The 14923-nt window shown below is 42.7% G+C and overlaps 1 long non-coding RNA gene across 1 annotated transcript in view, besides 2 other annotated features; it reads left to right on the top strand.

Moving 5' to 3' along the window:
• The window catches only part of LOC102724945 (uncharacterized), a 244858-nt gene that overhangs the window by 54997 nt on the left and 174938 nt on the right, over positions 1-14923 (top strand). The gene's annotated exons all lie outside the window — the stretch shown is intronic.
• Positions 8051-8869: an enhancer, noted in NCBI's record as "H3K27ac-H3K4me1 hESC enhancer chr14:34609069-34609887 (GRCh37/hg19 assembly coordinates)". NCBI's record gives its function as "activates a minimal SCP1, AML or CMV promoter by ChIP-STARR-seq in naive and primed H9 embryonic stem cells {active_cell/tissue: H9 hESC(naive and primed)}" and the evidence as "EXISTENCE:reporter gene assay evidence [ECO:0000049][PMID:30033119]".
• Positions 8870-9689: an enhancer, noted in NCBI's record as "H3K27ac-H3K4me1 hESC enhancer chr14:34608249-34609068 (GRCh37/hg19 assembly coordinates)". NCBI's record gives its function as "activates a minimal SCP1, AML or CMV promoter by ChIP-STARR-seq in primed H9 embryonic stem cells {active_cell/tissue: H9 hESC(primed)}" and the evidence as "EXISTENCE:reporter gene assay evidence [ECO:0000049][PMID:30033119]".

Below are 14923 nucleotides of genomic sequence, written 5' to 3'. Positions count from 1 at the left end.
TATGTTTTTAAAAAGCTGAAAGACTAGAAAGGTGACTGAGATGGGAGAAGATAAGGGCTGTGTGGAGGGGGATGAGGAAGGAGGATCTGTGACCAAGTTCATGAGGTTCAGCTATTCTCAGTGGGGAATGAATCTCCTGTTGAAATTCAAGTGCTCTTCACGAAGCTGGAGCCAGCGCATACTCTGTCTCCCTTCATCAGAGCCTGCACCACTGTAAGCCCAGTGCAAGGAGCCCACAGTTAGCTGGGAGTGAGGTGGGGATGGGCGGACAGTCTCACAGTTGGCACGAGCCAGGCAGAACCGCCTCTGGGTGTTCGGAACTCCAGTTCAGTTTTCCCTCCAGTATTGCAGTCGGGATCGTTTGCCCTGAGTTGACTTGGCATAGAGTGAACACAATAGTACTTTCTAAGAGTCCAGTGTAAGAGTCCAGTGTGGGGGAGAGGGCAGAGCAGTGCTTCAGAATTTGAGAGCTACAGGTATAGTCCCACAATTCAAGGTAGTGTAAGCTTAAATAAGCCATTTACTTTCTCAGGACCTTGTATTTATTTATTTTTATTTAAGCTGCAAAAATGGAGCCTCACAATGTGTTCCTATTAATATTAGACCACAGACAAGTAAATTATCATATTTTCCATTGTAAATTCCCAGATCAAAATCTTCTATCATAGTTGCATGAAGAGAGGTAAGAATGAGAGGGAACTGAACTCTTGCCAAAGAGGAAGATGGGAGAAGAGGACCACACAACTCAGTAAATGCTTGACTCAACCATTCTAAACCCTGAGGTTGGGAAAGAAAGGCTGAACTATGGAAAGCCTTTGTTTGTTTGTTTGTTTTTCAAAATAACATCAAGAAGCAAGGATTATGGAATACCTTAGTTTTATCAGATTATTTTTTTAAACAGTGTCAGTAAAACTAAAATTCACCTGGGAAAGCCCAAGACTCCAGCCATCAAGGAAGAACTTAACAAGACCTGGTAATTATCCAGATCATGAAGTTAAAACAGGATATGAAGCCAATGCTGTCTGGCATGTAACTTGAAGTCTTAGTCACTTGTGTGAAGATGTTCCTATCTGGCTCTCGTCCGAGGATGTCATAGTAACCATGGGTGTGTGCAGGGCAGGTCTTCCCTTTCCCACACCAGACTGGGCATCCTATCAACACACCAGGGCTCTCTCAGCTGCACACTAGAAACCTGGCTCCTGGGAATGGGGTTCATGGGCTTGCTGGCCACCCAGCACGCTGGGGGAGGTCATGGCAAGCAGGGGGAGCAAGCAGGAAGAGAAGCAAGGGTCCCACTCTGTTGCTCCCCTCCCTTCCCTCCTCCTTATCCGGAGCTTGCCTCTAGCTGGAGTTCCCTACTTGCTTGCTTTTTTCCGGTTGGGTTTACTGTGGTCTGTTTATTGGTTCCCTTGCTTTACATGAGAAAATGGTGGGAGGAGAGGAGTGGGAAGCAGTGCAACCCATCCTTTTCTGTCCTTGTTTGGGTTCAGAATTCCTATTTCATCTCTCTGTCTCCACCACCTTCTGCTAAGGCCCCTGCAGTCATTTCCCGGTATTGCTTGAGGCTTTATAGGATGACAGTTTTTTTCTCTTTTGGTTTCCTCCATATCAAGCTTGCCTCAGTTTCCCTATGTCACTCCCACACTCTACTATTCAATAAATCTAATTCCTTCTTTTAAACTGAAAGGAGTGAAAGGTGAATGCAGGTCATCTAAGAATCTGCCAGACTTTCTACTTAATTCAGACAGAACACTTTTGGTGAGGATCCCAAAGGGCTAAGGTAGAGGCTAGAAATATAGTTTGTGATCCTTGCTTTCTGGAGTTCACAATCTAACTGGGGAAATAATCTTCCCCTCGTGTGAGGAGCTGAAAACAGGGGAGTTAATACCAATCCCAGATGACACAAAGCAGGTTGTAGATAAATGTCTAGTGAAAGGCATAGAGATTGCACATTATACAGTTCAGAAGAGCCAGTTCAGAAGGAGAGAGTTTTCCATGGAGACCATGTGAATTTTGACATAGATGGCATCCAGTTATGCTCCTGTGGTCAGAATGAAACCACCTTCTATTTGCATGGTACCGTAAAGCATCTAAACAACATGCCCCATTTAATGTTTAAATCATGCATCTTCTAGCCAAGGAAACTGAGGCTCACTCAGGTCACATGGAAGCAGTGGGCCCCAGTCTCCTGACCATAGGACCAGAGCTCTTTCCCCTCCAGCTGCCTCTCCCTGAGAGAAGGTGGAATGAGCAATGAGCTAGCAGTAGAGTCCAGGAGCTGGACCACCTCAGAAGGAAAGTGAATCTGAAGGATCCCCAAAGTAGAGATGTGGTTCTCTGTTAGGGAAATAATTGGCCCCAGCCAGAGAGAGCAATTCACCTGCATTACAGGTCCTGCCAGCCCCTCAGATGGGCCAGATTTGTCCTAAAGACATGTATTTTGTCTGCACAAGGATATAAAATGTGTGCATTAGTTGTCCATATTTCTAAAATGAAGTGATCTTGCTCTCACACACAAATATACACAAACTCAGATTGCAAGCTTCTCTTGAAAATTGGACTCTCTGGCAACACTGAACTCCTCATTCTTTTTAAAAAAATTTTATTTAATTTTTTTATTATAATACTTTAAGTTCTGGGATACATGTGCAGAACGTGCAGGTTTGTTACACAGGTATACATGTGACATAGTGGTTTGCTGCACCCATCAACCCGTCATCTACATTAGGTATTTCTCCTAATGCTATCCCTCCCCTAGCCCCTGAGCCCCCGACAGGCCCTGGTGTGTGATGTTCCCCTCCCTGTGTCCATGTGTTCTCATTGTTCAACTCCTGCTGATGAGTGAGAACGTGTGGTGTTTGGTTTTCTGTTCTTGTGTTAGTTTGCTGAGAATGATGGTTTCCAGCTTCATCCGTGTCTCTGCAAAGGACATGAACTCATCCTTTTTTCTGGCTGCATAGTATGCCATGGTATATATGTGCCACATTTTCTTTATCTAGTCTAACATTGATGGGAATTTGGGTTGGTTCCAAGTCTTTGCTATTGTGAACAGTGCTGCAATAAATATACATGTGCATGTATCTTTATAGTAGAATGATTTATAATCCTTTTGGTATATACCAGTAATGGGATTGCTGGGTCAAATGGTATTTCTGGTTCTAGATCCTTGAGGAATTGCCACACTGTCTTCCACAATGGTTGAACTAATTTACACTCCCACCAACAGTGTGAAAGTGTTCCTATTTCTCCACATCCTCTCCAGCATCTGTTGCTTCCTGACTTTTTAATGATCACCATTCTAACTGGTGTGAGATGATATCTCATTGTGGTTTTGATTTGCATTTCTCTAATGACCAGTGATGATGAGCTTTTTTTTTTTTTTATGTGTTTGTTGGTTGCATAAATGTCTTCTTTTGAGAAGTGTCTGTTCATATCCTTCACCTACTTTTTGATGGGGTTGTTTGTTTTTTTCTTGTGAATTTGTTTAAGTTCCTTGTAGATTCTGGATATTAGCCCTTTGTCGGAGGGAGAGATTGCAAAAATTTTCTCCCATTCTGTAGGTTACCTGTTCACTCTGATGATAGTTTCTTTTGCTGTGCAGAAGCTCTTTAGTTTATTTAGATCCCATTTGTCAATTTTGGCCTTTGTTGCCATTGCTTTTGGTGTTTTAGTTATGAAGTCCTCGCCCATGCCTGTGTCCTGAATGGTATTTCCTACGTTTTCTTCTAGGGTTTTTATGGTTTTAGGTCTTACATTTAAGTCTTTAATCTATCTTCGTTAATTTTTATATAAGGTGTAAGGTAGGGGTCTAATTTCACTTTTCTGCATATGGCTAGCCAGTTTTCCCAAAACCATTTATTAAATAGGGAATCCTTTCCCCATTTCTTGTTTTTGTCAGGTTTGTCAAAGATCAGATAGTTGTAGCTATGCGGCGTTATTTCTGAGGCCTCTGTTCTGTTCCATTGGTCTATACATCTGTTTTGGTACCAGTACCATGCTGTTTTGGTTATTGTAGCCTTGTAGTATAGTTTGAAGTCAGGTAGCGTGATGCCTCCAGCTTTGTTGTTTTTGCTTAGGATTGTCTTGGCTATGTAGGCTCTTTTTTGGTTCCATATGAAATTTAAAGTAGTTCTTTCCAATTCTGTGAAGAAAGTCAATGAGAGCTTGATAGGGATAGCATTGAATCTATAAATTACTTTGGGCAGTATAGCCATTTTCACGATATTGATTCTTCCTATCCATGAGCATGGAATGTTTTTCCATTTGTTTGTGTCCTCTCTGATTTCCTTGAGCAGTGGCTTATAGTTCTCCTTGAAGAGGTCCTTCACATCCCTTAAAAGTTATATTCCTAGGTATTTTATTCTCTTTGTAGCAATTGTGAATGGGAGTTCACTCATGATTTGGGTCTCTGTTTGTCTGTTATTGGTGTATAGGAATGCCTGTGATTTTTGCACATTGATCTTGTATCCTGAGACTTTGCTGAAGTTGCTTGTTAGCTTAAGGAGATTTGGAGCTGGGATGATGGGGTTTTCTAAATATACAATCACGTCATCCACAAACAGAGACAATTTGACATCCTCTCTTCCTATTTGAATACCCTTTGTTTCTTTCTCTTGCCTGATTGCCCTGGCCAGAACTTCCAATACTATGTTGAATAGGAGTGGTGAGAGAGGGCGTCCCTGTCTTGTGCTGGTTTTCAAAGGGAATGCTTCCAGCTTATGCCCATTCAGTATGATATTGGCTGTGGGCTTATCATAAATAGCTCGTATTATTTTGAGATGTGTTCCATCAACACCTAGTTTATTGAGAGGTTTTAGCATGAAGTGGTGTTCAATTTTATCGAAGGCCTTTTCTGCCTCTATTGAGATAATCATGTGGTTTTTGTCATTGGTTCTGTTTATGTGATGGATTACATTTATTGATTTGCATATGTTGAACCAGCCTTGCATCCCAGGAATGAAGCCGACTTGATCATGGTCAATAAGCTATTTGATGTGCTGCTGGATTTGGTTTGCCAGTATTTTATTGAGGATTTTCGCATCAATGTTCATCAGGGATATTGACCTGAAATTTTCTTTTTTTTGTTGTGTCTCTGCCAGGTTTCGTATCAGGATGATACTGGCCTCATAAAATGTGTTTTGGAGGAGTGCCTCTTTTTCTGTTGATTGGAATAATTTCAGAAGGAATGGTACTAGCTCCTCTTTTACCTCTGGTAGAATTTGGCAGTGAATCCATCTGGTCCTGGACTTTTTTTTTGGTTGGTAGGCTATTAATTACTGCCTCAATTTCAGAACATGTTATTGGTCCATTCAGGGATTCAACTACTTCCTGGTTTAGTCTTGGGAGGGTGTATGTGTCCAGGAATTTATCCATTTCTTCTAGATTTTCTAGTTCAATTGCATAGAGGTGTTTATAGTATTCTCTGATAGTAGTTTGTATTTCTGTGGGATCAGTGGTGATATCCCCTTTATCATTTTTTATTGTGTCTATTTGATTCTTCTCTCTTTTCTTCTTTATTAGTCTGGCTAGTGGTCTATCTATTTTGTTGATCTTTTCAAAAAACCAGCTCCTGGATTCACTGATTTTTTTGAAGGGATTTTCATGTCTCTATCTCCTTCAGTTCTGCTCTGATCTTAGTTATTTCTTGTCTTCTGCTAGCTTTTGAATTTATTTGCTCTTGCTTCTCTAGTTCTTTTAATTGTGATGTTAGGGTGTCAACTTTATATCTTTCCTGCTTTCTTCTGTGGGCATTTAATGCTATAAATTTCCCTCTAAACGCTGCTTTAGCTGTGTCCCAGAGATTCTGGTACATTGTGTCTTTGTTCTTATTGGTTTCGAGGAACTTATTTATTTCTGTCTTCATTTTGTTATTTACCCAGTAGTCATTCAGGCGCAGGTTGTTTAGTTTCTATGTAGTTGTGCGGTTTTGAGTGAGTTTCTTTTTTTTTTTGTTTTTTTGAGATGGAGTCTTGCCCTGTCACCCAGGCTGGAGTGCAGTGGTGCAATCTCGGCTCACTGCAAGCTCCACCTCCTGGGTTCATGCCATTCTCCTGCCTTAGCCTCTGGAGTAGCTGAGACTACAGGTGCCTGCCAACATGCCTGGCTAATTTTTTTGATTTTTAGTAGAGATGGGGTTTCACTGTGTTAGCCAGGATGGTCTCGATCTCCTGATCTTGTGTTCTGCCCGTCTCGGCCTCCCAAAGTGCTGGGATTACAGGCATGAGCCACCGCACCCAGCCTTGAGTGAATTTCTTAATCCTTGGTTCTAATTGGATTGGACTGTGGTCTGAGAGACTGTTTGTTATGATTTCCATTCTTTTACATTTGCTGACAAGTGTTTTACTTCCAATTATGTGGTCAATTTTACAATGAGTGCAGTGTGGTGCTGAGAAGAGTGTATATTCTGTTGATTTGGGGTGGAGAGTTCTGTAAATGTCTATTAGGTCTTCTTTGTCCAGAGCTGAGTTCAAGTCCTGAATATCCTTGTTAATTTTCTGTCTTGTTGATCTGTCTAATATTGAGAGTGGGGTGTTACAGTCTCCCACTATTATTGTGTGGGAGCCTCAGTCTCTTTGTAGGTCTCTAAGAGCTTGCTTTATGAATCTAGGTGCTCCTGTATTGGGTGCATATATATTTAGGATAGTTAGCTCTTCTTGTTGCATTGATCCCTTTACCATTATGTATTGCCCTTCTTTGTCTTTTTTGATCTTTGTTGGTTTAAAGTCTGTTTTATCAGAGACTGGATTGCAACCCCTGCTTTTTTTTGCTTTCCATTTGCTTGGTAAATATTCCTCCATCCCTTTATTTTGAGCCTATGTGTGTCCTTGCACGTGAGATGGCTCTCCTGGATACAGCACACCGATGGGTCTTGACTCTTTATCCAATTTGCCAGTCTGTGTCTTTTTATTGGCGCATTTAGCCCATTTTACATTGAAGGTTAATATTGTTATGTGTGAATTTCATCCTGTGATTATGATGCTAGCTGGTTATTTTGCACATTAGTTGATGCAGTTTCTTCATAGTGTTGAGGTCTTTATAATTTGGTATGTTTTTGCAGTGGCTGGTACCGTTTTTTTCTCTCCATAATTAGTGCTTCCTTCAGGAGCTCTTGTAAGGCAGGCCTGGTAGTGACAAAATCTCTTAGCATTTGCTTGTCCATAAAGGATTTTATTTCTCCTTCACTTATGAAGCTTAGTTTGGCTGGATATGAAATTCTGGGTTGAAAATTCTTTTTCTTAAGTTGTCAAATATTGGCCCCCACTCTCTTCTGGCTTGTAGGGTTTCTGCTGAGAGATCTGCTGTTAGTCTGATGGGCTTCCCTTTGTGGGTAACTTGACCTTTTTCTCTGGCTGCCCTTAACATTTTTTCCGTCATTTCAACCTTGGTGAATCTGACAATTATGTGTCTTGGGGTTGCTCTTCTCAAGGAGTATCTTTGTGGTGTTGTTTGTATTTCCTGAATTTGAATGTTGGCCTGCCTTGCTAGGTTGGGGAAGTTCTCCTGGATAATATCCTGGAATGTCTTTCCAAGCTTGGTTCCATTCTCCCCATCACTTTCAGGTACACCAATCAAATGTAGGTTTGGTCTTTTCACATAGTCCCATATTTGTTGGAGGCTTTGTTCATTCCTTTTCTTTCTTTTTTCTCTAATCTTGTCTTCACGCTTTATTTCATTCAGCTGATCTTCAATCTCTGATATCCTTTCTTCCGCTTGATCAATTCGACTGTTGATACTTGTGTATGCTTCATGAAGTTCTCATGCTATGTTTTTCAGCTCCTTCAGGTCATTTATGTTCTTCTCTAAACTGGTTATTCTAGTTAGCAGTTCCTGTAGCCTTTTATCAAGGTTCTTAGCTTCCTTGCATTGGATTAGAACATACTCCTTTAGCTCAGAGGAGTTTGCTATTACCTACCTTCTGAAGCCTACTTCTGTCAACTCATCAAACTCATTCTCTGTCCATTTTTGTTTCCTTGCTGGTGAGGAGTTGTGATCCTTTGGAGGAGAAGAGGCATTCTGGTTTTTGGAATTTTCAGCCTTTTTGCGCTGGTTTTTCCTCATCTTTGTGGACTTTTCTACCTTTGGTCTTTGATGTTGGTGACCTTCGGATGGGGTTTTTGTGTGGACGTCCTTTTTGTTGATGTTGATGCTATCCTTTTCTGTTTGTTAGTTTTCCTTCTAACAGGCCCCTCTGCTGTACGTCTGCTAGAGTTGCTAGAGGTCCACTCCAGACCCTGTTTGCCCGGGTATCACCAGCAGAGGCTGCAGAACAGCAAAGATTGCTGCCTGTTCCTTCCTCTGGAAGCTTCATCCCAGAGGGGCACCTGCCAGATGCCAGCTGGAGCTCTCCTGTATGAGGTGTCTGTCGACCCCTGCTGGGAGGTGTCTCCCTATCAGGAGACATGAGGGTCAGGGATTCACTCGAGGAGGCAGTCTGTCCCTTAGCAGAGCTTGAGCGCTGTGCTGGGAGATACATTGCTCTCCTCAGAGCTGGCAGGCAGGAACATTTAAGTCTGCTGAAGCTGCGCCAACAGCCGCCCCTTCCCCCAGGTGCTCTGTCCCAGGGAAATGGGAGTTTTATCTATAAGCCCCTGACTATGGCTGCTGCCTTTCTTTCAGAGATGCCCCGCCCAGAGAGCAAGAATCTAGCAAGGCAGTCTGGCTACAGCGGCTTTGGCAAGCTGCTGTGGGCTCCACCCAGTTTGAACTTCCCGGAGGCTTTGTTTACACTGTGAGGGAAAAACTGCCTATTCAAGCCTCAGTAATGGCAGACGCCCCTCCCCCCACCAAGCTCGAGAGTCCCACGTCCACTTCACACTGCTGTGCTGGCAGCAAGAATTTCAAGCCAGTGGATCTTAGCTTGCTGGGGTCTGTGGGGGTGCAATCTGCTGAGCAAGACCACTTGGCTCCCTGGCTTCAGCCTTCTTTCCAGGGGAGTGAATGGTTCTGTCTTGTTGGCATTCCAGGAGCCACTGGGGTATGAAGAAACTCCTGCAGCTAGCTAGGTGTCTGCCCAAACGGCCACCCAGTTTTGTGCTTGAAACCCAGGGCCCTGGTGGTGTAGGCACTGGAGGGAATCTCCTCATCTGTGGGTTGGGAAGACCATGGGAAAAGCGTAATATATGGGCCAGAGTGCACCGTTCCTCACGGCACAGTCCCTCAGGGCTTCCCTTGGCTAGGGGAGGGCGTTCCCCAACCCCTTGCACTTCCCGGGTGAGGCAGTACCCCACCCTGCTTTGGCTCACCCTCTGTGGGCTGCACCCACTGTCTAACCAGTCCCAATGAGATGAGCCAGGTACCTCAGTTGGAAATGCAGAAATCACCTGCCTTCTGCGTTGATCTTGCTGGGAGCTACAGACCAGAGCTGTTCCTATTCAGCCATCTTGCCAGCCACTGAACTCCTCATTCTTATAGCCACCTTGTGTTAGAACTGTGTTGCAACCACCTCTTTAGAGGATGCAGTTGCTCTGCAGTTCTCTAGGGCTCCACAGAGCTTGGCCTCTAGAGGCTTTGGAGTTTGCATCTTACAAGATGGGGAGCCCATAGGGGAATGTGATATTTGTTGCACTTTAGTGTTTACTAGATTTAGGTCTCCTGTGACACATTTGAGAGGCAGCTATGACATGGTAGAAAGAGGCCGAGGGTCTGGATTCAAGCCCCTCTCTGCCATGTATTGTTTGTGTGACCTTAGCTAAAACAGTCAACCTCTCTCAGCTTGAGTTTCATGACCTTTTGATTGGGTGTAAGGATACCCATTCCCAATGAGGTTGTATAGATTATGTGAGTTAATAAAAGTATAATAAGTGGTGCCTATATGTTTTAATGCTTATTTTTGGAAGTATTCAATCTGAGATGCAAAGATACAGAGGATTGGTTCTACAGGCTATTCCTTCAAATGATTTTGGAATCTTAGAGCTAAAGTGTCACTAGCCTTGTTTTAGGAAGAAGCTGCAATGAGTCTCATGTAATTTTGAAGATGTTCTAATGGACACAAGGTAGGGGATGGCAAAGAGGCACTGAAAGAGAGACTGCTGCTTCCCTGCCCCATAATCTTAGCCTGTTTTCCCTACTTTGTTTGAACAGGATGTTTAATATACATATTTGTTTATACATCTGGGAGAGGATCAGAGTCTAAAAGAATTGTAACTGGAACACTTTTTGAAATCCACTTTCAAGGAGGGAGAGTATTTTAGAAAGTCAAAACTTGGTCAATAGAGAAGGACAAACAAACCATGCACTTCTCGTCTCTGAGAGAGCTTCAAGTGCCTGTTGCAAATTGATTTAAGGATTGTGACAATAATGTTGAGGTTCTTTGAAGATGGCAGCAGCCTGATAAAGTTCTTGAGGAAGTAAATTCGTATGTGAAGTATTTAAGGTCAAAACCCTTTGCACACCACTTTTGGGTTTGTCTTTTGTCCAAGCCCACTGAGTGGTTATTACGGTGATGTATGTGGGCGAGTGGCTAAAGTGGCCACAATGACAAGTGCTTCCTGACTCTGTGTTCAGGTGTACAATTCTGTTTTCTTCCTCCTTACCACTCTCCTTCCCATGCCCCTGTGGTCAGGATGGCCATCCCATCCCACCTCCCTAACCCTGTCAAACAAGGCACTGAAAATGCCATTTTTGCCTTTTCATTGTGATTCCTTTGTGAAAAGAAATGGGAGCAACCACTGGATACAGTGCCATCCAGAGATGTCCATCATCTTCTGGCTCAAATGGAAAAACCACAGCTATATCATTGTTCAGGCTTGGTACATATTTACCCAGCTTCTCAGACACCTGAGAACTCATGTAACTCAACATTTGTAAAATTGTCATTTGTTCAGGTAAGGTTTTCCTCTCTACTCATTTAAACCTTTGCTTTCTGAAAAACATCACTGAGAGAGATGGCTGGACATGTGATAGTAATAGCTTTGTGGGGCAAGCAGGTAAGTTTACATCCCTTTCTCCCTTTCTGGGAAATTGAAGGATGCCAGACAAAAAGTCCCTCTAGTTGTCATTATTATATACTTAAAATAAGCTGGGTTCAGGCTCTCTCACAAAATGCTAGTTCTTGGACTGAAGCCAAACATGTAAATTTCAGTTCAAATAAATGCTAAATAGGAAAAGCAAAGGGGTCAGCCCTGGAGGCTCCCCTGTAGGCCACCGGTGGCCCCTTGCTCTGGCTTGCCTTCTTTTCTTCCACATCAGCAGGCCTATTTTCCTGGAGATCTGCCTTGACTTGGTGAGCAAGGCTCAACACAGTGAGTCTCTTGCTTGTTCAAGGGGGAAGGGAATCTGCCTTGCCATCCATAGAAAAGCTAATGAGCTGAGGTGACACCGGGCCTTGAATTCAGACCTCCTGTAATGCTTTGCTTGCCTGATGCTGCTGTAACATATTTTTATATTACTCCATAATAGGGAGACAGTGAAATACAGATCCTGCCAGGCTGAGTTGCTCCCACTGCTTCTCCAGCCACTCAGCAGGGATTGAGATGCTTTGCATCAGGGGTGATAGAACATTTTGACTCTACTGTGGAGGTTGGCCTCGGGCCAAAGGAGGAGCTGCTGCTTCTTTGTATTTCTCAATGAAAAGCAGGCACTCTGGTGTAGCAGGTTCCAGCCTTGTTAGGATGCCAGGGTCTATTCCTTACTTCTGGGTCTGGATTTGAGCAAGTTGCTCTCCCCACTTGTACAAGGCTTGTGCAGGAAACTGGGGGTGGTGGGGGACAGGAGCAGGAGGGAGAAGGCAGTGATACTTTTTATTTCCAGAATGCTATTGCCATGCTCTAGCCTTTCCTGGTATCTGAGGAAACACAACTTATGTCAGGAATCTAATGCCTCCCAGGGACTCCAGGCAATGACCTACTAGGGTGAATACTACTAGTTCATCATCACTGCCCAGCTCTCCTAAAGAAGAATACTCTTGTAGAAGATACTATTGGATTATTGGTCCAGTTGATTGTGAATCTTAAAGATTTGCAATCTCAACAGTTTAAATTAGAAGTTTAAGAAAATGGGAATCTATGATTAACATGACTCAACGTAGAAGGAGAAAACTTCCTTTAGCAGCAGGATGGGTAAAAGGCAAGGTCTTAGCAGAATGATAACCTGGGTGTCTGTCTCCTGTTGATGTCATTGACAGGCCCCACTGAGCAGTAGTTTTAGACTTCTGTATTTTAGGTCTGGCTGGCCATTCTAATTGTGTGAAGTTATTTGGTTGGCATTCAGAATCATCTTCTATGGAGTTATGAAACCCACTAGAGAGGCAGGAAAAGGGCTCCTGAGCTGAGGGAGCAGAGGGCCCAGCCCTACTTTGCCTGATCCTGCCCACCGGCTCTTCTCGGTGAACTTCCAAGATGCCCTCCATGTAGGTCCTCAGGGATAAGCTCCATGACCTCCTGCTCACTCCCATCACCTTTCACCTTTGGCTTTGGACTAGGTGCAGGAAAGAGAAGCACAAATAATAATTTCTGACAGGATATAAACTTGCTGGTAGGGAAGAAGAATGAAGAATCAGGAGAAATAGAAAGTGCTCACTGTGTGGGTAATTATGTAGGATCTGCCAATCTTGTAGGTGGGTGTTGGAGCTGAGGAGGAAGAGGGTCTTAGGTATTGTTATGGAAATCCTGTGTCTCCTCTAGATAAGGGTGGTTGAACACCAATTGAGAATGTCAGCTGAGAAAAGTTTCTAGAAAGCATCCTCATTCGTTTAGTCCTTCCTTCAGCAAAATTATAGTAGATACTTTTATGAACAAGGCCGGGGTTAACAAGACATAAAATACCAGGTTAAAGACTATCTGGTCATCATAAGTACATGATCTATTGAATGACTTAAGGCTCTCCTCCATGTGTCTTCCCCCTTGAGAGTTACTTTTTGAATTTAGTCCCAAAAAAGCATTGTCTCTTGTGAGGAAATGGTCTATATCCTTTTTTTTTTTTTTTTTTTTTTTCCAGATTTGAGAACTGTGTAACTTATGTTTCTATTTTTTTCCAAGGTTCTAGTTTGCATACCACAGAAATCGATTCTGGCTATTGCAGTCAGAAAAGAGGAATTTGTGGCAGGGTGTGGCGGCTCATGCCTGTAATCCCAGCACTTTGGGGATTACAGGCCCTTGAGGCCAAGGCAGGCAGATAGCCTGAGGTCAGGAGTTCGAGACCAGTCTGGCCAATATGGTGAAACCCCTTCTCTACTAAAAGTACAAAAAAATTAGCCGGGTGTGGTGGCATGCGTCGGTAATCCCAGCTACCCGGGAGGCTAAGGCAGGGGAATTGCTTGAACCAGGGAGAGATTGCAGTGAGCCAAGATCGCACCACTGCACTCCAGCCTGGGCGATAGAGTGAGACTTGATCTAAAAAAAAAAAAAAAGAAAAAGAAAAGAGGAATTTGTTGAAAGGATGATTCAGGACCAAGCTGTACCACTGACTAGCTCAGGGGCAGTGGACAAGTCATTTATCCTTTTCAAATTTCACTTTACACCTTACCATTCCAGCCCTACCTGAAAGTCCCCTGTCCAAGGCCCTTGGAAGAGCAAGGGACAGTGAGGCAGGAGAAGACCAAGAGTTGAATATAGGCCTGGCCCATAATGTGAACATAAGTATTCACTTTCTCTGATGTTCAACAATTCATCTATTCAATCATTTATTCATTGGGTTGTCAGATAGTCTACTATGTGCAAAATAATCTATTTTGGCATTACATGCAAAATAATCTGTTACAGCTTTAAAATATATCTGGAACTTTTTAGATTATTTCAAGCCTTATTCTGAATAAATGTTTGTTACTTCTAGTTCTATAAGTGAGGAAATGTTTATGGCAAAGACTTTTGGCACTTTGTTTTCAAGGTGGTGTTATCTTTTGCATTCTTTGTAAATGACTTTTTTTTTCTGCCAAATAATAACTGGTTAACAAACACATGTTCATATTTATTGATTAAAATGTTGTTACTTAATTCCTTAAAAAAAAACAAACAAACCCAAAAGCCTCCCAAAGTTTGCTTTACCTGCCATTCAAGGAATGTTGCACAATCAGAGCGAGGCTCACAAAATAGATGGAATGCTCAAAAACCAAGCCTGGGAAGCACATAGGAACCAAGAGAGTTCTGGATAGTGAGGTCACAGGAACTGGTTCTCTTGCTGCTGGGCCAGGTTGAGTAAGACGTGCAATTGCCTTCATGATGTTGGGTCACTCTACATTCAAGTCCTGGAAAAGTTTCTGATTAGCCAAAGGCTTCAGTTTGGAAAGCTAGTCCCTTTCGATGTCTTAGAGGGAGTACCAGCCACTCTCAAGATTAATGGGGTAGTCTTCAAAAGGAATATCGGTGGGCAGATGTTGGATAACAACAAAAATGGATGTCCGGAAATGCAGAGTAAAGCTGTTGCTCAAAAATAAAAACAATATCCACCCTTGTAAGGAGTGTATGTGCTCTTTCTGCCTTTTCTTGGTTCTGATTTTTTTCTTCCTTTCCCTTTAATTACCCTTATTGTATTGCATTCCTTGAATGGCAGGTAATGTGAGATTTGGAAAGGATAAATGACTTGCTTGATGTCTCTGAGCTAGTAAGTAGTACAGCCAGGTTTTGAATGTATATCTTTTCACTTTAATTTCAGTTGTCTTGTCTTTCCCTCTGTATTGATGCAATACAAAGTGGAGAGTGACAAATATCAAGAAAGTTACAAGAAAACTGCTCTACTTGATCTAAAGAGGAGTATTTCTTCAGGTTTGAAGACATTTGTTGGTCTAAGTAATTAACAATAAATATGTTTTCTTTGCTAAAGGGAGAGTGCATCCACTCTCTTTTGTAAACCAGCTAACCCACCAGCAGGGAATGTCCTATCATTACCAGGAAGGTGCCATGAATAAGAAGAGTGGTTTCTTCAGTATTTTTTTCCCTGGTGAGTTCTGAGGATCTTAGGTCTATGTTCAGGCTATTCCTCTCTTTTGAAA

This window comes from Homo sapiens, chromosome 14 (assembly GCF_000001405.40).
Source record: "Homo sapiens chromosome 14, GRCh38.p14 Primary Assembly".
NCBI lineage: Eukaryota > Metazoa > Chordata > Mammalia > Primates > Hominidae > Homo > Homo sapiens.
Note: the sequence above shows the minus strand (reverse complement) of the source record. Positions and strands in the feature narration are given on the sequence as shown.